The 25,453-nt window shown below is 46.6% G+C and overlaps 1 protein-coding gene across 3 annotated transcripts in view; it reads right to left on the bottom strand.

Annotated features, from left to right (window-relative positions):
- ZNF420 (zinc finger protein 420) overlaps positions 1–25,230 on the bottom strand; it is a 122,467-nt gene extending 97,237 nt beyond the window's left edge. For all 3 annotated transcript variants that reach the window (XM_047438230.1, XM_011526503.3, XM_011526510.3), the window contains exon 1: positions 25,050–25,230. The gene's annotated coding sequence lies outside the window, so the exon portion shown is untranslated. The remainder of the gene's footprint in view (positions 1–25,049) is intronic.

The following is a 25,453-nucleotide window of genomic DNA, read 5'->3' as shown; positions in this document are numbered from 1 at the left end:
ACCAAATCTATTTTAAAATTACAGCTAAAATGAAGTCTCCCTCAATCCCAATAACTATGTGCCAAAAGTGCTACTTCTGCTCTGATCTTTCTACCTACTGTGAATATCCATATGTGACATTTTGGCTAGTTCATAAAATAAACTTGAATGAGCATTAATTTTTTCTAATTCTCTTCCTATATCCACCAGCTACATTCTACATCCTACAACTTGCCGACCACACCTGATACAGATGAATCATTTTTCTGCTCCCTCTTTCAATTTCCTCTAGTATCTGTGATTTATATACCACCTCCTGCTGCTCTAGGTCCAATCTCTGTGCAGTTTTATGTCTTGGTATTGGTAACTCTTGATCTGGGCAAGCAGTGGTGCTATCTCCACTCACTGCAAACTCTGCCTCCTGGGTTCAAGCAATTCTCCTGCCTCAGCCTCCCAAGTAGCTGGGATTACAGGCACGTGCCACCACTCCTGGCAAATTGTTGTATTTTTAGTAGAGACGGGGTTTAACCTTGTTGGTAAGGCTTGTCTCGAACTCCTGACCTCTGGTGATCCACCAGCCTTGGCCTCCCAAACTGTGGGATTACTGGCGTTAGCCACGGCACCCAGCCTTTTTTTTTTTTTTTTCTTAAAGACCGAGTCTCACTCTGCTGCGCAGGCTGGAGTGCAGAGCGCGATCTTGGCTCACTGCAACCTCCACCTCCCAGGTTCAAGTGATTCTCATGCCTCAGCCTCCGAAGTACCTGGGATTACAGGTGCGCACAACCACGCCTGGCTAATTTTAGTTTTTTGGGTTTTTTTTTTTTAACAGAGTCTTGCTCTGTCACCAGGTTGGAGTGCAGTGGCGCAATCTCGGCTCACTGCAACCTCTGCCTTCAAGTGGTTTTCCTGCCTCAGCCTCCCAGTAGCTGGGACTACAGGCACATGCCACCACGCCAGGCTAATTGTATTTTTAGTAAAGATAGGGTTTCACCATGTTTGCCAGGATGGTCTCAATCTTCTGACCCCGTGATCTGCCTGCCTTGGCCTCCCAAAGCATTGGGATTACAGGCGTTAGCCACCGCACGGTCTAATTTTTGTATTTTTAGTAGAGATGGGGTTTCACCATGTTGGCCCGGCTGGTCTGGAACTCCTGAGGCTGACCTCAAGTGATCTGCCTGCCTCGGCCTTCCAAAGTGCTGGGATCATAGGTGTAAGCCACCACGCCTGGCTGGTGTACCGTTTTAATAGAATGCAGAAACAAAGCTAAGTGTGAATCTTAAATACTTAATATTGAGTAAAAGAAGCCAGATGCAGTAGGATACAAACTATTACTCCAATTATGTAAGAGAAAAACCGGGCAAAATCAGACTTTAGGCACATAAAAAATACATAATAAAGCCAGGTTTTGGGGTCAGGAGTTTGAGACTAGCCTGGCCAACATGCAAAACCCTGTCTCTACTAAAAATACAAAAATTATCCAGGTGTGGTGGCACGTGGCCTGTACCTGTAATCCCAGCTACTCGGGAGGCTGAGGCAAGAGAATCACTTGAACCCAGGAGGCGGAGGTTGCCGTGAGCCGAGATCATGCCACTACACTCCAGCCTGGGCGACAGAGCGAGACTCCGTGTCCAAAAAAATAAAGAAAAGAAAATGCATAATAAAATTACAAAGAGAAGCAAGGAGAGGATGGCAGATATCCACAGGTAATGTGGATATCTGTATATCTGTTACTAATAAGGGGAAGGAAGACTTTAGGATCAGTTAGGGGCATACAGAGGACTTCTTGGTGTTGGTTGTGCTCTATTTCTTCACCTGGATAGGTATCACACAGATGTTTATTTAATAACCAATGTATCCACATCTTTGTTTGCAAATTTCACAATAAGAATGAAATAGAGCAAAGGAGGGTGAATGGAAAGAGATTTCTCCATTCATCAAATTATGAAGTCATGTTTTTCCTCAGGTTCTTCTCTAAGCTCAGTCTGAAATGGTGAAAGCAGCCAAGCATGGTGGCTCACGCCTGTAATCTCAGCACTTTGGGAGGCCAAGGTGGGTGGATCACCTGAGGTCAGGAGTTGAGACCAGCCTGGCCAACATGGCAAAACCCCGTTTCTACTAAAAATACAAAAATTAGCCGGGCGTGGTGGGGGGGCACCTATAATCCCAGCTACTTGGGAGGCTACAGTGAGCCAAGATCATGCCACTTCACTCAAAAGAGTGAAACTCAGTCTCAAAACACAGCAAAATAAAACAACAACAACGAAAGAAAACAGGAAAAATCCTCAATATGACTTAGAGGACTTATTAAACTAGGGTGCAGCCACTCATACTGTGTCTTGCTTTGTAGCTCAAGAAAACGATGACCCTCCCTAGGTACTGATTTAGAGTGACATTTCTGTGAAAATACAGAAATACTTATATATGCATGTAACACATAGATGTATTTGAAATTGTATGTGAGTATGATATATACATACATATTTGTGTGTGTATGGCACCTGCATACTTGTATATGAAAATAACTTCTGTGTTCAGCCCTAAAAAAGAACAAGATCTTTCCATTTGCCACAACATGGATGAGCCTGGAGGGCATTATACCAAGTGAAGTTAGCCAACAACAGAAAGAAAAATATTGCATGACCTTACTTACATGTGGAATCTGAAAATAATTTTCACATATAAAGAAATAGAAGGCCGGATGCAGTGGGTCACGCCTGTAATCCTAGCATTTTGGGAGACCAAGGTGGGAGGATCAGGAGGTCAGAAGCTCAAGACCAGCCTGGCTAACACGGTGAAACCCCGTCTCTGCTAAAAATACAAAAAATTAGCCTGGTGTGTTGGCACACGCCTGTAATCACAGCTACTCGGGAGGCTGAGGTAGGAGAATTGCTTGAACCCGGGAGGCGGAGGTTGCAGTGAGCAGAGATCACGCCACTGCATTCCAGCCTGGGCGACAGAGCGAGACTCCCTCTCAAACAACAACAACAACAACAACAACAAAAACAGAGAACCACAGTGATTACCAGTGAGAAAGGAAGGGAGGAAATGAGGACACGTGGGTCAGAGATACAAAGTAGCAGATACGTAGGATGAACAATCCTATACATCTTTTATACAACATGAGGAGTATAGGTAATAAAATTGTACTGTATATGGGATTCATGCTAAATGAGTAGATTTTAGCTTCCCTTGCCACACCAAAAAATGTGGGTACCTGTGAGATGATAGATATTTTAATTGGCTTCACTATAGTAACTCTTTGACTATGTATATATATATCCTATAACATTATATTGTGTACCTTAAATATACACAATAAAACTTCATTTAAAAAAAGAAAAAAATTGGCCAGGCGCGTGGCTCATGCCGGTAATCCCAGCACTTTGGGAGGCCAAGGCGGGTGGATCACGACATCAGGCCTGGCCAACATGATGAAACCCCGTCTCTACTAAAGATACAAAAAATTAGCCAGGTGTGGTGGCACATGCCTGTAATCCCAGCTACTTGAATCTGGGAGGCTGAGGCTGCAGAGAGCTGAGATCGTGCCATTGCACTCCAGCCTGGGTGACAGGCCGAGACTTTGATTCAAAAAAAAAAAGTAAAAGAAAAAAAAGAAAAAGAAAAAGAAAAAAAATTAAAGGATTCAAAACAAAATTAAAATATTGACTCTCAAGTGAGCTACTGAATGACTGGAGTGCATGAGAGAAAAGGTTACTTAACATTTTTATACCTATTGAATTGAATTTTATGTATGCATTATAAATGTAAATGTGCAATAATGCAGATAACTGAAATGCGGGAATGCTTTGATTAGGACTTTGCATTTCCCATTTCCTCAACTTCCTCATGACTCTAGATGCATTTGAATAGAAATACAAAATTTAAGGAGACACAGGACTTCTGATCGCCCTTTCTTCTTATTTTGTGTCTCTGGCTGTAGTTTACCATATGTGTCCATATGGCTAATGAGCAAAATATTTTTCAGTTGGATACCTGTGACCAAGCATTGCAAGTTAAAGATATTTCTGAATCTTGGACCCTCTTAGTTACAGTGAAGCCCGGCCATGCATAATAAAGCAGAGAGGAATGTAAAAGGTTGCTGCATCGATAATCAATTTCTGGTGAGCAATAATTATAGGTAATGTAAAATGAGACAATTATTGCTTTTCATCATATCTTGAAAGAACTCCTACAGTCGATGATTTGAACAAAACACCTAAGTTCACTCTCCTCTTTTCTATTATGAAAAGATATTATCCAGTAGAAGTTCAAGAGCAAAATCCGAAGGCAGCTTATCTGACCTGGCCACATAGCCTTGCCACTTATTCAACATAACTTTCTACACACTAACCTCTCCAGACCTCAGATCTTCAGCTCTCTGAAATACAAACATAGTAGTATCTACCTCTAGAACTGCAGCTGAACTGAGCATTTTAGGGAAGGAACAAACACACACATGATATATATAGTCAGATTATGAACCCAGTGTGGCCCAGAATACAGAAATTTCTCAGTAATAGAGATCCTCAAGAGAAAAATCAGATGTAGCCTATCTCAGTGGCCTTTCAAGTGGCAAATAAACACTGAAAGTCCATAATGAGAAAGACATGGGCAGGCAGTGACATCATCCATTCAGTGTAGACTCTCAACATCTCTGACAGTCATTCCCTGTTGTACCCCAACCTGTTTATATATTGGGCTTATATGACCTTTCAGTCAAAACATACATAAATCTCAAGCCTCAGTCAGAAATATTTATGGACAACCAGGTATTATTCTGTTTCCAATCAAAACTCAGGTAGACCACATTTTATGTGACAGGAGAAAGCACAGTTGATGCCCAGGTAACCCTGAGATCATCCCTGACTGCAGCTTCCTATCATCACAGCAAGCTCTTTCCCCGCAGTCCATCATCTGTATCTGCCCTTTGCTATATAGGTAGCAAAAATAAACATCTGAAAAGATGCTCAACACCATATGTCACTAGGGAATTCAAATTAAAACAAAGATGAGATACCACTACACATCTGTTAGACTGGCTCAAATCCAAACGCTGACACCACCAAATGCTGGTGAGGATACGGCGCAACAGGAACTCTCATTGATTGCTGCTGGGAATGCAAAATGGTACAGTCACTGTGGAAGGCAGTTTTGCAAATTCCTGCAAAACTAAACATATGATTACCCTATGATCTGGCAATTGCATTCTTTGTTACATACCCAAATAAGTTGAAAACTTAGATCCACTCAAATCCTGCACATGAATGATTACAGCAGCTTATACATAACCAACAAAGATTGGAAGTAACCAAGATATCCTACAATAGGGAAATGCATAAACTAACTCTGAAACAATCATACAATGGAATATTCTTCAGGAATAAAAAGAAATGAACCACCAAGGCATGGAAAGACATGGAGGAATCTTAAACATGTATTTCTAAGTGAAAGAAGCCAATGTGAAAAGGCCACATAGTGTATAGTTCCAATTATATAAAATACTAGAAAAAGGCAAAACTAGGCAGATGGTATTATAAAAAGTTCAGTGGTTGCCAGAGGCTTGAGCAGAGGGAAGGATGAATAGGTGGAGCACAGAGGATTTTTAGGGCAATGAAACTTTTCTCTGTGACCCTTTAATGGTGGATATATGTCCTCATGCATTTGTCAAAGTCCATAAATGGTAGAACACAAAGAGTGAATCTTAATATAAGCCATGAACTTAATAATATTAATATTGGCTCATCAAGCATACAAATATACCACACTAACAAGATGATAATAGAGGAAGTGTGTGTACTATGGTGTGAGGGGGATATTAGAGCTCAATTTGCCTTCTGCTCTGTTTTTCTGTACACCTACAACTGTTCTAAAAATTAAGTCAATTATTTATTTATCTTTTGGAGAAAGGGTCTCGTTCTGTCACTCAGGCTGGAGTGCAGTGGTGCAATCACAGCTCACTGCCCAGCCTGCAGAATCAATTAATTTTAAAAATGTTTTAAACTCTTGAAAAAGGAATTATTCTAAGGGTGAAAAATAAAATGAAAGAGGATTGATTGGTAAATTCCAAATGTTGAATATTAAATAATTTGGATTAATTTTAAATTCCAAAAAGTGAAACTTTAAAAAACATTTTTGAAATTTCCTAATCTGAAGTCATTGCATGTTCAATAAATTCAAGAGCCAATTTCAGAGATCGTAGGTTTTGGCTTTCTTTGTTGACTATTTGTATTTGTGAACGGCTAATTTTTATTTTGTTCCTTTCTTCTTAGGGTATTGACTAATATTTTATTAAGCCAGAGAGACAGTAAATTAGAATTATTATCTGTTTGTCCATTTTATCTGTTATAAATATTTCCTCCAAATTCACTTATCTAAAGTTTTTGGTTTTTTTAGCCAGGCGTGGTGGCTCACGCCTGTAATCCCAGCACTTTGGGAGGCTGAGGCAGGAGGATCACTTGAAGTCAGGAGTTCGAGACCAGCCTGGCCAACATGGCAAAACCCCATACCTACTAAACATACAAAAATCAGCTGGGCTACCAGGCCCGGTGGCTCACAACTGTAATCCCAGCACTTTGGGAGGCCGAGGTGGGCAGATCACCTGAAGTCGGGAGTTTGAGACCAGCCTGACCAACATGGAGAAACCCCATCTCTACTGAAAATACAAAACTAGCAGGGTGTGGTGGCACATGCCTGTAATCCCAGCTACTTGGGAAGTTAAGGCAGGAGAATCGCTTGAACCCAGGAGGCGGAGGTGCAGTGAGCCCAGATCACCCCATTGCACTCCAGCCTGGGCAACAAGAGTGAAACTCCCTCTCAAAAAAAAAAAAAAGAGCCGGGCATGGTGGCACATGCCTGTAGTCCCAGCTACTCGGGAGGCTGAGGCAGGAGAATCACTTGAGCCCAGGAGGCGGAGGTTGCAGTGAGCTGAGATGGTGCCACTGCACTCCAGCCTGGGATGTGTCACCCCCCAACCCCACCCCCGCCAGCTAATTTTGTATTTTAGTAGAGATGGGGTTTCTCCATGTTGATCAGGCTGCTCTTGAACTCCCGACCTCAGGTCATCCGCCCGCCTCTGCCTCCCAAAGTGCTGGATTACAGGCATGAGCCACTACACCCGGCCTTATGCCATTATTAATAAGATTGATGTTAAATTATATAATCGATGGGTAAATAGTATCAAGGATGAATTACTCAGTAAAGAAGACAGGCTTAGGCCAGGTGTGGTGGTTCAGATTTGTAATCCCAACACTTTGGAAGGCTGAGGCAGGAGGATTGCTGAGCCCAGGAGGTCGAGGCTGCAGTGAGCAGTGTTCACACCACTGTACTCCAACCTAGGCAACAGAGCGAGACCTTGTCTCTTAAAAAAAAAAAAAAAAAAAAAAGACAGGTTTAAAAATCTATGCATAAATTAAGTGGTATCCTGGTAAAATTAAGGAGACAGGCTGTCTTCTCAGCCTCTAAGAAAGTGATACTGAGCTCTGCATTGTGAGATGTCAACATCTTGGTGCCTCTGTTTCCCCATCTCACTACACATGACAGGTCTGAAGATGAATCAAGATAATCCATAGAAACAAGTACATGATAGGTAGTGTAATAATGTATCATCACAGAAGATAAAAAAGACCACCTGTCCATTAGTCTGCTATTATAAAAGGAACTTAATTCTGTTGCTACCTGGTTGTCTTAATGTCTGTGCTTTGTAGGTTTCTCTTTCTTATAATTCCAATTTTACAAATTTCAAGGCTCACCTTTGAGAAAACATCAATCTTACTTAAAAAAAACAACAACAGTTAACTTTAAAAAAACAAGATTTTCAGACAGGTAAGAAGAAAATACCCCTTTCCTTACTCCTCAGATGTTACAGAAAACAAGGAAAACACCCTTCAGCCTCATATACATGTTCAATGAACAAGAGATGATGCTGAGAAAACCTATGAATGTAAAGAGTGTGGGGAAGCTTTTAGGACTAGCCGCCAACTTTCTGTACATCATAGATTTCATTCTGGTGAGAAACCCTATAAATGTTTGGAATGTGACAAGGCCTTTAGTGTGTATGGATGACTTAGTCAACATCAATATTCACACTGGTGAGAAACCCTTTTAATGTAACAAATGTGAGATGTCCTTTAGGCTCAACTCAGGCCTTAAAGCACATCAGAGTATTCATACTGGAGAGAAGCCCTATGAATGTGAGAAGTGTGGGAAGGCCTTTAGTGTGTTTGGGCAATTTGCTCAATATCAGAGTACTCATAGTGGTAAGAAGCCCTTTACGGCAGGGTGTGGTGGCTCATGCCTGTCATCCCAGCACTTTGCAAGGCCAAAGGCAGAGGATAGCTTGAACTCAGGAGTTCGAGAACAGCCTGGGCAACATAGTGAGACCCCATCTCTATTTAAAAAAATTAAGGCCAGGCGTGGTGGCTCACGCCTGTCATTCCAGCACTTTGGGAGGCCAAGGTGGGTGGATCACCTGAGGTCAGGAGTTCGAGACCAGCCTAGCCAACATAGTGAAACCCCGTCTCTACTAAAAATACAAAAAATTAGCCAGGTGTGGTGACGGCACCTTTAATCCCAGCTACTCGAGAGGCTGAGGCAGGAGAATCTCTTGAACCTGGGAGGTGGCGGTTGCAGTGAGCTGAGATTGCACCACTGCACCCCAGCCTGGGTAACAGAATGAGACTCTGTCTCAAAAAAACAAACAAACAAAAAAATCCCTTTGTGAACCCAAAATGTCTGAGATGGGTCTCAGTCAATTTAGAAAGTTGATTTTGCCAAGGTTAAGGATGCCCTGTGACCCAGCCTCAGGAGGTCCTGACAACATGTGCCCAACCAAAGTGGCTCGGGTACAGCTTGCTTTACACATTTTAGAGAGGCATGAGATCAATCAATACATGCCAGAGTTACACTAGTTCAATCTGGAAGGGTGGGACAACTAGAAGGAGGTGCCTCCAGGTCATAGGTAGATTTTAAAATTTTCCGATGGGCATTCGGTGGAAAGAGTTATCAGTAGGTTATGTCTGGGTTATAAAAGGGGTTGTGGAGACCTAGGTTTTATTCTGCAGATGAAGCCTCCAAGTAGCAGGCTTGAGAGAGGATACAAATGTTTCTTATCAGACTTAAGGTCTGTGTTGATGTTCATGCTGGAGGGGTATCATGAGGCATATGAAAACCCCTCTTCCATCATGGCCTGATCTAGATTTTCAGGTAACTCTGGAATGCCCTTGGCCAAGAGGAGGGACCCATATATATGTATATGTATATATGTACAGTGTGTCAATGTATTTATACCACTGAGAAACAATTTGGATAAAGACTACACGGGAAGGCTTTTAGATATGGTTAAGCTCTTATTAGGTATCAATTTGTTTGTACCGGTGTGAACTTTTCAAAATGTCAGTAATGTGTCATTTTTTAGCTCTGAACCCAAATGTTACTCAGATTCAGATAGTTTATAATGTATTTTTATAACAACACAAGAAAACCTCTTTTGGGCTGGGCACAGTGGCTCACGCCTGTAATCCCAGCACTTTGGGAGGCCAAGAGGGGTGGATCACCTGAGGTCAGTAGTTGGAGACCAGCCTGGCCAACACGGCAAAACCCTGTCCCTACTAAAAATACAAATATTAGCTGGGCATGGTGACGTGCACCTGTAATCCCAGCTACCCAGGAGGCTGAGGCAAGAGAATCCCTGGAACCCAGGAGGCAGAGGCTGCAGTGAGCCAAGATTGCGCCACTGCACTCCAGCACGGGCGACAGAGCAAGACTCCATCTCAAAAAGAAAAAAAAAGAAAGAAAAGAAAACCTTTTCTGGCATTCTTCTATTTTTGCATTATCGAACCATTCGTAATAGAGGAAAATTGAGAGGATATAGGAAAGCATTGCATTGCTCTTTATACTTTGTATGTAAAAGTCTTCCAGCACCAATTACTGTTAAATTGATGAAAAGTCATCAAACAGAGCTGTGTGATGTGGAAAAGGCTTTAGACATTCTACAGATCTTTTTTTTTTCTTTTTCTTTGAGACGGAGTCTCGCTCTGTCACCCAGGCTGGAGTGCTGTGGTGCAATCTCGGCTCACTGCAACCTCTGCCTCCTGGGTTTAAGTGATTCTCCTGCCTTAGTCTCCTAGGTAGCTGAGATTACAGGTGTGCACCACCATGCCTGGCTAATTTTTGTATTTTTTTAGTAGAGATTGGGTTTCGCCATGTTGGTCAGGCTTGTCTCGAACGCCTGACCTTGTGATCCGCTTGCTTCGGCCTCCCAAAGTGCTGGGATTACAGGCGTGAGCCACCGCGCCTGCCCCCATGCTACATATCTTAATGATCGTCATCAGCGTTCAACTCCTTACAGCCAATATGATATTGGGGATAATACTTATCCCCTCTGGGCATCATATGTAAATGGCGATAGTAGTACCTACAGTATATTGCTGTATTACATGAGTTAATACATGAAAAAAACATGGAACACTATCTAGAATGTACTGTTATGTTCAATAAATATTAGCTTCCATTTGTGATATCATTATGGGTGCTATTTTTTGTTAATTTTTTTCATTTCTGTGGAATTGTTAGTGGATTTTGATGAGATAAAATTCAGAAGAATGACAGAATTCAGAAGCATTTCATGTAATTACTCATCCCTTTTTGAATTTGAATTCATTCTGGATAAACTCAAGCAAGTAAAAACCATGAGAGGGTCTCATTCGAATGTCAAGGTGAATCACACACTTAATCCTGGAATGAAATTCAGATGTACAAATTTTTAAAATGTCAAAAGTGTGAAAATAATAATTTATATTCCTTTTGCACAATTCAAAATGCATTAGAAATTAACCAAATATTATCTAGTTTGCAATTTTTACACTTTTATTATACATTTAATTATATATTTAAGTTTAAATATATAGAAAAGTTTTTAAAATTGCAGCAAATAAAATATATATTAATATATTGCCACATTAGATTTTTTTGCCCCTATACATTTGATATATAATTTGACAGTGTTATGGATGATATAATTTTCTACATCTAAATACATGAGTCCATCTCCCCAAAAACAATTTCCTGTTTACTCAAAGTGTCATATAATCACACATAAGAAAATTAGTAATAATTTCCTATTCCAAAATTGAATCCAAATTCAGATTTTTTCAATTTTCTCAGTAATGTACAACTATTCATTTTTTCTTTTCTTTTTTTTTTTTTTTTTTTTTTTTTTTGAGACAGACTGTCGCTCTGTTGCTCAGGCTGGAGTTTAGTGGCACGATCTCGGCTCACCACAACCTTCACCTCCTGGGTTCAAGCGATTCTCCTGCCTCAGCCTCCCGAGTAGCTGGGACTACAGGTGTACGCCACCATGCCATGCTAATTTTTGTATTTTTAGTAGAGATGGGGTTTCACCATGTTGGTCAGGCTTGTCTCCAACTCCTGACCTCGTGATCCCCATGCCTTGGCCTCCCAAAGTGCTGAGATTACAGGTGTGAGCCACTGCTCCTGGCCTACAACTACTCATTTTCAAAGTGGTAACCAGCTTATGCATTTGATTGGGAAACTCTGACCAGTAACCAAATGCAACTTTTTAAATATTTCGGCCCAGTGTGGTGGTTCATGCCTATAATCAAAGCACTTTGGGATGCTGAGGCAGGCGGATCACCTGAGATCAAGAGTTAGAGACCAGCCTGACCAACATGGAGACACCCCATCTCTACTAAAAATACAAAATTAGCTGGGTGTGGTGGCATATGCCTGTAATCCTAGCTATTTGGAAGGCTGAGGCAGAAGAATCACTTGAGCCCAGGAGGCAGAAGTTGCGGTGAGCAGAGATAGCACCATTGCACTCCAGCCTGGGCAACAAGAGTGAAACTTCGTTTCAAAAAAAATAAAAAATAAAAAATGTTTCATTGCAAGATTAGCACACTCATTGTCTACTTTTTGTCTATGGCTGCTTTCTTCCTATTATAATAGAGTTGAATAGTCAGTACAGAGACTCTGTGGAACAGGAAAGCACTCTTGACCTTTTCAGAAAGAGTTTCTCAACTCCTGGTTTACACGTCTTTTGCTCATGATTTTGGCTGGGTTATTTTCCTCCTAATTTTTAAAAATTGTGAAATACACATAAAATTTGGTGTCATAACCATTTAAAGCATACACTTCTGTTCAGAGTTATTAAGGACATTCATATTGTTGAACAAACACCACCACCATTTATTTCCAGAACTCTTCATTTTGCAAAACTGAAACTCTATACCTATTAAACAATGACTCCCCATTCCCCCAACCCCTGCCAACCACCATTCTACTATCTGTTTCTATAATGTTGACTGTTGTAAGTACCTCATATAAGTGGAATAATACAGTGTTTATTTTATAACAGGCTTATTTCCTTAGTATAATATTCTTAACATCCATGTTGCAGCATATGTCAGAATTTCCTTCTATTTAAAGGCTGAATAATGTGCACTGTGTGTATTTACTGCATTTTACTTATGTATCTATTGACTAAGGGACACTTGGGGTGCCTCTACTTTAGCTATTGTGCATAATGCTGCTATGAACATGGTGTAAGGATTAAAGAAAGAAGAAACAAACACGAAAAGCAGCTTGACCGTCAAAGACAGGTTTATTTGGGAAAATAAACCTGAGAGGGGCTTCTGGCCGATTTAGGCCAGGCATGTTCTCTCTTACAGAATAAGGATATTTAAGGGTTTAGGGAGTGAGAGCTTATTGCAAGTTTGGAATATTTTTGGGTAGAGGAGAGTTTTGTTGTGGGGCTGCAATGTTTCTGTTCAGAGGGAGGTTTATCTCGGGGTTGGAATGTTTCTGGTCAGAAGTGTCATTTGTCCTTTATGGTCATGCTGACATTAGCCATTATGTTGTGTTTTTGGGCTGGATTTAGGCAGTTTTTAATCAAGGGAAACTTTTTTTTTTTTTTTTTTTTTTGAGACGGAGTCTCACTCTGTCGCCCAGGCTGGAGTGCAGTGGCGCCATCTGGGCTCACTGCAAGCTCCGCCTCCCGGGTTCAAACGATTCTTCTGCCTCAGCCTCCCGAGTAGCTGGGACTACAGGCGCCCGCCACTGTGCCCGGCTCATTTTTTGTATTTTTAGTAGAGACGGGGTTTCACCGGGTTAGCCAGGATGTTCTCGATCTCCTGACCTTATGATCCGCCCTCCTCAGCCTCCCAAAGTGCTGAGATTACAGGCGTGAGCCACCACGCTCGGCCAAGGGGAATTTAAAATGGCGGTGTTTGTCCAAGATGGCGATGCTCCTGCTCTGTCACGTGGGTGTACAAATATCTCTTTGAAACTGCTTTCAGTTTCCCAGAGTGTCTACCTAGATGTGGAATTGCTGGATCATATGGTAATTCTATTTTTAATTTTTTTTTTTTTGTGACAGATGAGTCTTTCTCTGTCCCCCAATTGGGAGTGCAGTGGTCAAATCTTGGCTCACTGCAAACTCTGCCTTCTGGGTTCAAGTGATTTTCCTGTCTCAGCCCTCTGGGATTACAGGCACATGCCACTGCGCCTGGCTAATTTTTGTATTGTTAGTAGAGATGGGGTTTCACCATGTTGGCCAGGCTGGTCTTGAACTCCTGACTTCAAGTGATCCGCCCATCTCAGCCTCCCCAAGTGTTGGGATTACAGGCTTGAGCCACCACGCCTGGCCTCCATTTTCAATTTTTTAAGGAATTGCCATGCTGTTTTTCACAGTGGCTGTACCTTTTTCTATTCCCTGCAATAGTGCCTCAGGGTTCCCATTTCTCTATATCATTACCAACAGCTCTTATTTTCTGTTTTTTAACGGCAGCCTTTCTAATGGAGATAAAGTAGTATCTCCTTATAGATTTGATTAGCATTTCCCTAATAATTAGTGTGGTGAGTATCTTTTTACATGCTTATTGGCCATCTGTATGTCTTTGGAGAAATAATTTTTGTATTTTTAGTAGAGACGTGAAGTCTCTGAAGTCTGTGGCAGATTTTTGGACCCTTTTAATTGTTGGATTTTACAGATTATATATTTAGCATCTTAATCCCTTATCAGGTTTATGATTGTAAATATTTTCTTTCATTCTGTGGGTTTCCCTTTAAATCTACTGATGTCTTTTGATTCACACTTCTTTTTTACTTTTCATGAATTTCAACTTGTCTGTTTTTTCTTTTGATGCCTGTACATTTGGTATCCTCCAAAAAAAATTACCAAATGCAGTGCTATGAAAGCATTTGATCTCACAATTAGTTTATGGATCCATTTTAAGCTAATTTTGTATATGGCATTAAGAGTTCAACTTTGGCTGGGCACAGTGACTTGTGCCTGTAATCCCAGCATTTTGGGAGGCTGAGGTGGGTGGGTCACTTGAGGCCAGGAGTTCGAGACCAGCCTGGCCAACATGGTGAAACCCCGCCTCTACTAAAAATATAAAAAAATTCACTGGGCATGGTGGTGCACACCTATAATCCCAGCTACTCAGGAGGCTGAGGCAGGAGAATTACTTAAACCCAGGAGGCAGAAGTTGCAGTGAGCTAAGATCATGCCACTGCACTCTAGCCTGGGCGACACAGATTCTGTCTCAAAAAAACAAACAAACAAAAAATAAAAATAGTTCAACTTTATTCTTTTTTATGTAGATACCCAGTTTTCCTAGCACAGTTCAGAACCCTGTCATATCCCCATTGACTGATCTTGGCACCCTTGTTGATAAGCATCTGGCTATATATGCATTGATTAATATTGGACTCTTTGATTACTCTCATTTTGCAGTAAGTTCTGAAATCAGAAAGTGTGATTTTTCCAGCTTTATTCCTAGTTTTTAGGGTTGTTTTGCCTACTTGGAATCCCACGAGGTTTCATATGAATTTCAGGATAGATTTTTCCGTTTATACAAAAAATGTCATTAGAATTTCAGAAGGATTACATGAAATCTGTAGATGGCTTTAGATAGTATTGACATATTAACAATATTAAATTTCCCAATCCATGAACATGGGGATGCCTTTCAGTTTATGTCTTTAATTTTTTTTCAGGAATGATATGTAGTTTTCATTGGACAAGTCTTTCAATTTGTTGGTTAACTTTGAAGAAGTTTATTCTTTTTGATGCTATTGTGAATGGCATGGTTTTCTCTTTTTTTTGTGTTCTTCAGTGTAATTGTATAGAAATGAAACTTTTTTTTGTCTGTGTGTTGACCATCCTGGCACTCTGCTGAATTCATTTTATTAGTTGTTTTTTGTTTATGGAGTCTTTTGGGTTTTTTACACATTAGATCATATCATCTGCAAACACAGAAAATTCATTTCATTGTCTTCAATTTGGATGCCGGTTGTTGTTTTTTTTGCCACATTTCTGTAGCTAGTACTTTTAGTACTCTGCTGAATGAACATGGTGACAGCAGGCCTTCTTCCTTTGTTCCTGATCTTGGAGAAAAAGCTTTCAGTCTTTCACCGAGTGTGCTGTCCACTGTGGGTTTTTCACATAAAACTTTTATTATGTTGACGTAGTTTCCTTCAATTCCTAATTTGTTGCATGACTTTTTAAAAAATCATGAATGGTTTTTGAAATTGGTTGAAACTTTTTGCGTGAATTGAGATAATCAAGTGGGGTTTTTCCTTCACTCTTAATGTGATATATTACACGTTAGGATTTCAAATATTTAACCATTGTTTCATTCCAAGAATAAATTCTACTTGGTCATGGTGTATAACCCTGGTTATACAAAAGGATTGTATGTATGCCACTGTATCTGCAAAAGCAGGTTTTCCTTCTATACTCATGCCACTCTCAGTACTTCTCATACCACTTGTGTGGGGCTTTTCCTTGTGCACACCAATTGGGCATCCTGCACTTCAATTCTGACACTAATCAGATTTAGAGTCAGATCCCACAGGCCAGGGGCTCAGTCCCACAAGACTACTCTCACTTCAGACACCAATCACAAGTCCAGATGTCACCTGTACGTCTTACTGAATGACTGAATCAGAAGTTCCCATGATCCTCTCCATTAGTTGCATCATTTGCTAGAATGGCTACAGATCTGTGGAAAACACTTAGGTTTACTAGTTTATTATACAATAAAGGAAACAGATGGTGATGATGTTAGCAAGATGGTGAAATATGTGGTCACCTGCTCATATCCCCCCACAATAGTAAGAATTCTGCACTTATCCATTGGCAAAAGTCTCTCTCTGGGAGCCTTGGGATTCATGTAGGAGGTTATGAAACCCTTGTGGATCCCAAGACCTAAGAGGGTTGTTTTGAAAGCAGTGACCCATATCTAGGTTGTAGACCCAGCAGTCATCTTGCTTCAGACTTGGAAACAACCCAAGTCCCATAGAGCCTGGCTACTAACCTGTTTGGCCTTGGCCCTACTACCAAAATCATCCTCCGAGGGGTCCCAGTAGCGTCATGCAAACTAGTGCCTCAGCAAACATGCCTGTCTGGCTGCCAGAAGCTCCTGCTTCTCCTCAGCACTGCTGTCCAGTAGCAACGGGAACGAGGACAAAGGCAAGCTGAAAGTGGAGCCAAGGTGGCCACACCTGGAACTGGCAATCCATGGGGACAGATAAGGTTGAGAGTGTGTCTCAAAGGCCATATGGGGTGAATCCAAGCCTCAGAAGGATGTCCGGGCATGCTCCCAATGGGCAATGAGGATCCCCAAGAAAGGGAAGGACAAGCAAAGCACAACTGGGACCACAGGAGGGGCCTGTGCTAGAGTCCAAGCCCCGTTCAGGGATTCCAGCCAGAGGAGCCAAGAGGTGCAAAGTGCAAAACACCCCAAACCCCACACCGGATCACTACTCACCACCTGGCCTGCACCCAGTCAACTGCCAGTCCCTTTTGCTCTGTGAAATTCCTAACAGCCAATGGTTCCGTGCTGAGAGGCAGTTCCAGTCAGGAATAGAGAAATGGGAGATCACTCAACAATAAGAAAGGATGTGCAGAGGAAATGAAACACAGCCTAGATTAGAAGGCAAAGGCCAGCCATGGCTGACTACCTCTCATCCTATGGGAATCATGCAGTCATCTGACGGAATAGGAGGACCAAAAGTTTCCCTGTTGGTGGGAGCTACGAGCACCCACGGTTCAAGAATTATCACAGCTACCCAGTCATTAGGAAATGTGGGTGTTGAGGAGGAAACACTCATGACATGGATCTTCAGAAAGGTCATCCTCAACTAACTGGGAAAAGTTTGTTGTAGAGAATGTAGAGCCAGACCAAGGAAACCCTAGGCCCATGAGAAACATGGAAGGCAGGAAAAGAGAGGACAGAGAAGAGGCCAGAGCCCGCGCAGGATCAATCCATCCCACTCGCATGTGGCTCCGGGAATGAGGGCCCAACCTGGAAGCTGGCCAGAAAGGCCACAGTTTGCAGTCCAAATATTCTCCTCACATTCATGTCTTCTTCCACCAGCACCAGGCCATGGTGTGGACAGGTTATGCAGTGAAGAGGAAGGGGAGAATGAGTTGGAACCAGCTTCTTTGACATCTATCTGCACCTGTCCTGCTGGTGTAGTTGTGGGACCTCCTCCCCACCTCATCAGACTGTATCCTCACCCCTGTCTCACCTTATTTCTACACACATCATTTCTTTTTGACCCGGAATGGAACTGAAAGAAGATTGAGTGCCCATCTGACATCCTTAAGCTCCTGCCCTGCCAGCAACGGAATTTGAAGTGGGCTCAAGGGGATCCTGAGGACAGGACAGCTAGGGTCCAGCCCTGGATGTGCCACAGGACTATGGGCCCCTAGGAGGCGTCTGTTCTTGGGTGTGTTGTGCTCATCTTCTTTCTAGAAGAGTGGCTCCCCGGGGTGGGGAGATGATTTGGACCCCTGTGGGTTGGAGCCAGCCCCCCACTTCTCCGAGGCTTCAGGAACTACAAGCAAAACAAAGGACGTGGGGCCCCGCAGCCCAAGCGGAGCCACAGAGTGAGGAGCATCAGAAGGTAGGTGGACTTGAGAGAAACCGCGCTCCAGCGCACGAGTCACATTTGTTTCACAAGAAACCACACACACACAGAAAGAAACACACACAGAGACATCCAGCACTCGCACAGAAACACACAGCCAGGCAGCTCCTGAGGCTGCGTGGTTCTGCTCTCTGCCAGGAAGCCCCTCCGGGGAGAGAGCAGCCCTCGGGCACATAGGCAGGCCGTATGTCCAAATCCCGGGGGGACGACTTTCAAGGAGATTCACCCCTAAACTATCTAGGCAGGCCTGATACATCATAGGGATCCTTAGGGATCCTGTGGTGCATTCTTGGGGCCCTGCTTGACGTTTCTTCAGCCTAGTTCGGCCCTGCCAGTCTCCAAGGATTGTGGGATCACCGTGCTGATCCCTCAGAGAGGAGAGACATCAGCCCAACTCTACACACTGCCACAGAGGGCTCCTGATCTGCCAAGCCTCTGGGACCCGTGCCCAGGCAATGGTGGTGGTCCCTGGGAGGCCAGCCCTGGCTCAGAGCTTGCCCTGGTGCCTCGCGTTTGGTGCATGCGCATTGTCGTGGTCGGCTCGCGCGCGCTGCAATGTCAGGGCTGTCAGGCGGCAGCCCCAGGAAAATGCTAGAGATGGACCGGCGGCGGCTTGGGGGAGGAGGCTGCTTGCGACAAGCAGCGCAGGACCCTAAGAGTCCTGACCTCAGGGCCTCCTTAAGCCGACTTCGTGTTCGGATCCCGGTGGAGGAGGAGGCGCTTCAGACCGTGAGGTGGGCACTCGGGACTGCTCTTCTGCTCCGATTCCGGATTGGAAGGTATGGGCAGAAATCGGGTCCCATGGGGCTGGTTATTCAGTCTGGTGAGGTGTGAAGGGGGTCGCTGGGGCACAGTAACAGCTGAGATCCCAGGGGAGGGAGTCAGCTGAAAATTCCCTGTTTCATGAGCTCACTGCCTCCCTTCGACCTGGGCCTCCCAGGGCACCGTCCTGGTCTCAAAGCTCAGGGAATCCTGCTGCTCAGCACTGCTGTCCTAAAAAGGCAGGAACGATTTTCCGTTTTGGCTGGGTGAAGGAAAGACAGCTTGAGAAGTACCTACTCAATGGAGGGGTGGGGGTGAAGGGTACTTTGCAGAAACCTCTCGCCTCCTCCAGTAGGCCTCCCTGAATGGGCTTGTTCTCCGGCACAGGCCCTCTCCTGGTTCCCAGGTGTGATTTGCTTTTCCTTGGCTTTCTTCCGAAGGTCCCCATAGCCCCCTGAGCGCATGCCAGGACATCACTGTCAGTCTCCACATCACCCCAAACGACCTTGGAGATACACGCTCACTACATCTGCTCATAGGGGACGCCAGTGCCACGTGTGGTCGCATTTGCTCCACCTCAAACTCACCCCTGGCCCTGTTGGCACTGGTCCCAGAAAGCAGTGTCAGGATACAGGAGTCCCTGGATTTTGGAAACCAGAGAAGGCCATTGCTCCGTCCAAGGAGAAGGGAGGCAGTGGGCTGATGAGTCAATGAACTTTAAGCTGACACCATGGCTTGAGGTCCGTGGGACCGTTCTGTGCCCCAGAGAGGCCCTCCCCGCCTCACCAGATTGTAACCCCATTCCTGCTCAATGGGTGGGATCCAAAATCAGATCCAAATGGGAGTCCGGAGATTCCATCTGTCCCCTGAAGCTGGGATCCCGCGCTGCTTCTCCGTGACTCTGCATGAGGTTTTTTCATCCTGGTCGGTGACCTCCTCAAATCCGGGCATCCAGAGACAATCATGTCAACCACGTTGAGAGGTCAGGCAAAAGCTTTGACACGGATGCACTGCCACGGAGTGATTGTGATCGGCAAGCCTCAGGGACCCATTCCCCAGACGATGGAGGGGATCATTAAGACGTGAGAACCTGCACACGCCACGAGCATGCACATTGGCAAGGCCGACAGGCGCCTGGCTCCTGTAATCCCGTCAGTGGCCCCTTTAAAAAATAGTGAGCGGGGGCTGCTGTGGACGAAGTGACAGGCAGTGAGAGGCGAGTAAGGTGCATTAGCCAGGTCTACATGGGCCCGGCTCCTAAACATCAGGCTGCGACCCCTTTAAAAAATGTGCTTAAGTGTGGGGTGGTCGTCTTGATCTTGGACAAGAGGCCTATCAGGATGGGGAGGAGAATTCAACTCCTGCGGGACCCACGATGCTCCCCATGTTGCCGAGGCTTTCACAAAATGCAAAGTGGAACGGCAGGGAAAACTGACAATGGGCCGCAAGACCCAGTAAAAGACGCAAAAAGAGGCTCAACAAAGACAGGCTTACAAGAAAGAAACAGCACTCCGGTGCACAAGACATTTTCGTCCCAACACACACACACGCAAACGGGCGCACAGACAAAGAAAGTAAGAAAGAGACAGAAACAGAGACAGAGATGGAAGAGAGAATGGGAGACACACACACACACACACACACACACACACACACACACACACACACAGAGACATATAGCAGTGGCACAGAAGCACACCCCCCCAGGCAACCCCTGAGGCTGCGGGGCTCTGCTCTCCAGAAGAACGACTCTCGGGTGAGAGAGCAGCCCACGGGCACACAGGCAGACCTGTCCTCGAGGTCACGGGGGTGCACGACTTTCTGGGAGACTCACTCGAACGCCGTCCCGGCAGGCCTGAAGCTGGGATGCCGAGCTGCTTCCCCCAGACTCCGCCTGTGGCTTCATCATCCTGGTCGGACCTCCACCACTCTTGGCATCCGCAGACCATCCTGTTGACACCCTGGAGAGGTCAGGCCGGAGCCTCAGGGCCCCGACACCCAAGCACTGCAATGTAGGGCTCCTGCTTTGCCAAGCCTCAGGGACTGGTTTCTTAGGCAACCATGGGAATCACTGTGACGAGAATCTGTTCGCGCCTCACGCATGCGCATTAGCTAGGCCGACTCGCGCTCCGCTCCTGGAAGTCAGGCTGCGGCCCCTTTAAATAATGGCGGCGGCGCGGCGGTAGGAGGGCACCTGGATCCAAGGTCGAGGAGCGGGCTTCGTTGAGAGAGGCGACTGCGGGCGCCCCAGGGCTGGACCACCAGGAGTCCTGTCCTCAAGACCTCCTTGTGCCGACTTCTACCGGTGGAGGAGGAGCTTCAGGGCGCCTGCTAGGGTCTCAGGACTCCTCTTCAGATTTTGGATCTCACCAAGTAAGCAGGGATGAGCTCACCTCATCTGTGAGGCGGGCAGGGCCTCGCTGGGGCACAGAAAGATCCATGAGCCTCAAGGCGTGGTGTCGGCTGAAAATTCACTGACACATGAGCCCTCTGCCTCCCTCGCCCCTGGGAGGAGCAGTGGCCTGTTCCGCTTCCAAAGCCCTGGGGCTCCTGCAAGAAGACACCGCTTTCTAGTACACGTGCAAACAGGAACAGGGGCGAGTCCAAGGTGGAGCCAATGCGACCACACGTGGCACTGGCGTCCCCCAGAACAGATGGGGTGAGTGTGTGTCACCAAGGCCATATGGGGCGATGGCGAGACGAACAATGGTGTCCAGGTATGTGCCTGGTGGAAGGGGGGCACAGGTGACCTCCCCAACAACGTCAAGGAAAAGCAAAGCACACCTGGGAACCAGGAGAGGGCCTGTGCGTGAATCCAAGCCACATTTTGCTACACCTGCTGGAGGAGCGGAGAGGTTTCTGCAAAGTTCACTTCACCCCCACCTCTCCAATGCCTAGGTAGCCCCGACACAACCTCCCATGCACCCAGCCCCAGCCCAATCCCTTTGGCTCCCTGACATTCATGGCAGCCAAAAGATTCAGTTCTGGGAGGCAGTCCACCCAGGAGCTCAGAAGAGGATGTCCCTCAAGAATGAAACATGAAGTGAAGAGGAAACGCGACACCGCCTTTCCTAGAAGCCAAGGCCAGCCACGCAGCCATCCCATGAAACATGGAGACCAAGGGAGCTTCCCTGTCTGAGACAGGTATGGATGCCCAGAGCTCCAGGATCATCAAACCTGCCCAATCCACCAGAAACGGGTTTGGAGAGAGAAACAATCATGACACGGATCACCACTTTCTCCCTGTTGGACTGGGAAGTGATCTTTGTTGAAGACATTGAACCAGAACAAGAAGCATCTAGGCCCCTCAGAAACAGGGCAGACAGAGCAAGAGGGAGGATAGAGCAGAGGCGAGAGCCCAGGCAGGATACAGCACAGTGCCACCGCCACAGGCTGAGGGGAGGAGTGCCAAACAGGTGACTTGTCCAGAGAGGCCAGGGGTTTTTGCCATGTCCCATTCCCAGCTTCTTGAAGATTGTGTCGTGGTGTGGCTTCATTTTTCAGAGAAGAGCCGTGAGGAGATAGAACCATCTTCTTTGACGTTTGTCTGCTCCCCTCCTGCAGGACAGTGAGCTCCTGTGAGGCTTTTGTCCTTGGCTGGAGTGTGGTCGTCTTGATCCTAGAAAAGAGGCCGCTCAGGATGGAGATGAAATTTCAGTTCCTCCAGGACCGACGCCTCTCCTCACGTCGTCGAGGCCTTTAGAAACCCAAAGTGGAACTGCCGCGAAACCGATTGACAACCGGCAACATGTCCCAGGCAGAGACGCAGCAAGAGGCGCACCAAAGACAGGCCGATATGCAAGAAATCGCTTTTTGATGCACAGGGCACATTCATTCAACACACACACGCACACCGGCACACACACTCACAGACAGAGAGAGAGAAACAGAGTGACAGAGAGAGAAGAGAGAATGGGAGACACACACACACAGACATAGAGCAGTGGCACAGAAACACATAGCCCCAGGCAACCCCTGAGGCTGCGGGGTTCTGCTCTTTGCGAGAACGATTCTCAAGTGAGAGAGCAGCCCACGGGCACACAAGCAGACATGTCGTCGAGATCACGGGGGGCATGACTTTTGGGGAGACTCACTTGAACACCGTCCCGGCAGTTGAGGCTGGGATGCCGCACTGCTTCTGCCATTTTCCGCCAATGGTTTCCTCATGCTGGTCCGCCCTCCGCGACTCCTGGCATCCAGAGACCGTCCTTTCGACCCCATGGAGAGGTCAGGCCGGAGTCTCGGAGCCCGGACACCCAAGCACTGCCACGGAGGGCTCCTGCTTTGCCAAGCCTCAGGGACTGGTTTCTCAGGCAACTGTGGGAATCACTGTGACGGGATAATCCTCTCGCGCCTCGGGCATGCGCATTGCCTAGGCCGACTCGTGCTCTGCTCCTGGAACTCAGGCTGAGGCCCCCTCGAACAATGGCGGCGGCAGTAGGGGCTCCTGCTGCAGCGCGGTGGTGGCTGAATCCGGGATCAAGTAGGGGGCGGCGAGGGAGTGGGGGCTGCGGGCGCCCTAGGGCCGGACTCGCAGGAGTCCTGTCCTCAGGGCCTCCTTGAGCCAACTTCTACCAGTGGAAGAGGAGGTTCAGGGCGCCTGCTGGGGTCTCAGTACTCCTCTTCAGATCCGATTTTGGATCCCACCAGGTGACCAGGGATGGGCTCACCTCATCTGGTGAGGCAGGCAGGGCCTCGCTGGGGCACAGAAAGATCCCATGGGCCTGAAGGCATGGTGTCAGCTGAAAATTCACTGAAACATGAGCCCTCTGCCTCCCTCCTCCCTGGGAGGTGCAGTGGCCTGCCCCGCTTGCCAAAGTCCTGGGGCTGCTGTGTGCCGCCACCGCTTTCCAGGAGACATGCAAACAAGAACAGGGGTGAGTCCGAGGTGGAGCCAATGTGACCAAACGTGGCACTGGCGTCCCCCAGAGCAGATGGGGTGAGTGTGTGTCACCGAGGCCATATGGGGCGATGGCGAGACGAACACTGGTGTCCAGGCATGTGCCCGGTGGAAGGGGGGCACAGGTGACCTCCCCAACAATGCCAAGGAAAAGCAAAGCACAGCTGGGAACCAGAAGAGGCCCTGTGCGTAAGTCCAAGCCACATTTTGGGGAGCCTGCTGGAGGAGCGGAGAGGTTTCTGTAAAGATCACTCCACCTCCATCCCTCCACCGCCTAGGTAGCCCTAACGCAACCTCCCATGCACCCAGCCCCAGCCCAGTCCCTTTGGCTCCCTGACATTATTGGCTGCCAAAAGATTCAGTTCTGGGAGGCAGTCCACCCAGGAGCAGAGGAAGCAGATGTCCCTTAAGAATGAGACAGGAAATGCAGAGGAAATGTGACACCGCCTCTCTTGAAGCCAAGGCCAGCCACGGTCGCCTACCATTCATTGTAGGGAAACTACGCAGCCATCAGGTGAAACATGGAGACCAAGGGAGCTTCCCTGTCTGAGACAGGTATGGATGCCCAGAGCTCCAGGATCTTCACACGTGCCCAATCCACCAGAAACAAGTTTGCAGAGGGAAACAATCATGACATGGATCTCCTTGAAGTTTCTCCCTGATGGACTGGAAAGTGTTCTTTGTTGAAGACATTGAGGCAGACCAAGAAGCATCTGCACCCCTCAGAAACGGGAGACACAGCAAGAGGGAGGACAGAGCAGAGGCCAGAGCCCAGGCAGGATACAGCACAGTGCCACCGCAACGGGCACCCGGGGAGGAGTGCCAAACGGGTGACTTGTCCAGAAAGGCCAGTGTTCCAGTGACAGGGATCCTTGCCATGTCCTGTTCCCGGCTTCTTCTTTAAGCCTGTGTCGTGGTGTGGCTTCATTTGTCAGAGAAGAGTCTCGCGGACTTAAAACCATCTTTGACGTCGGTCTGCTCCCCTCCCTCAGGACAATGAGCTCTTCTGATGCTTTTGTCCTTGGCTGAGGTGTGGTCTTGATCCTAGAAAAGCTGCCACTCAGGCTGGGGATGAGATTTCAATTCCTCTGGGTCCGAAGCATCTCCACATGACCCAGGCAGAGATGCAGAAAGAGGCTCACCAAAGACAGGCCGACATGCAAGAAATTGCCCTTTGGCGCACAGGGCACATTCGTGACAACACACTCACACGGACACACACACAGAGAAAGAAACAGAGGGAGAGAGAGAGAGAAGAAAGTGAGACACACACACACTACACACACACACAGCAGTGGTACACAAACATCCCCCCCCGCCCGCCCCAGGCAACTCCTGAGGCTGCGGGGTTCTGCTCTCTGTGAGAACGACCCTCGGGTGAGAGAGTAGCCTACAGGCACACAGGCAGACCTGTCCTCGAATTGACAGGGGCACGACTTTTGGGGAGACTCACCCGCACACCGTCCGGGCAGGCCTGAGGCAGGGACGCCGTACTGCTTCCCCTAGACTCCGCCTGTGGTTTCTTCATCCTGCTCTGCCCTCTGCGACTCCTGGCATTCGGAGAACGTCCTGTCGTTCTGTCGACCTCCTGGAGAGGTGAGGCCGGAGCCTCGGAGCCTCGACACCGACGCACTGCCGCGGAGGGCTCCTGCTTTCCCAAGCCTCAGGGACTGGTTTCTTAGGCAACCGTGGGGGTCATTGTGAACGGGGAAACAGCCGGCGCCTCGCGCATGCGCATTGGCTTGTCCGTCCAGCGCTCTGCTCCCGGAAGTCAGGCAGAGGCTTCTTTAAACAACGGTGGCGGCGCGGCGGCCTCGGGGTTGGGGGAGGGGGTGCACTTGCTGCAGTCACGGCGGT

The sequence above is a fragment of the Homo sapiens genome, chromosome 19 (genome assembly GCF_000001405.40).
Source record: "Homo sapiens chromosome 19, GRCh38.p14 Primary Assembly".
Classification (NCBI taxonomy): domain Eukaryota; kingdom Metazoa; phylum Chordata; class Mammalia; order Primates; family Hominidae; genus Homo; species Homo sapiens.
Note: the sequence above shows the minus strand (reverse complement) of the source record. Positions and strands in the feature narration are given on the sequence as shown.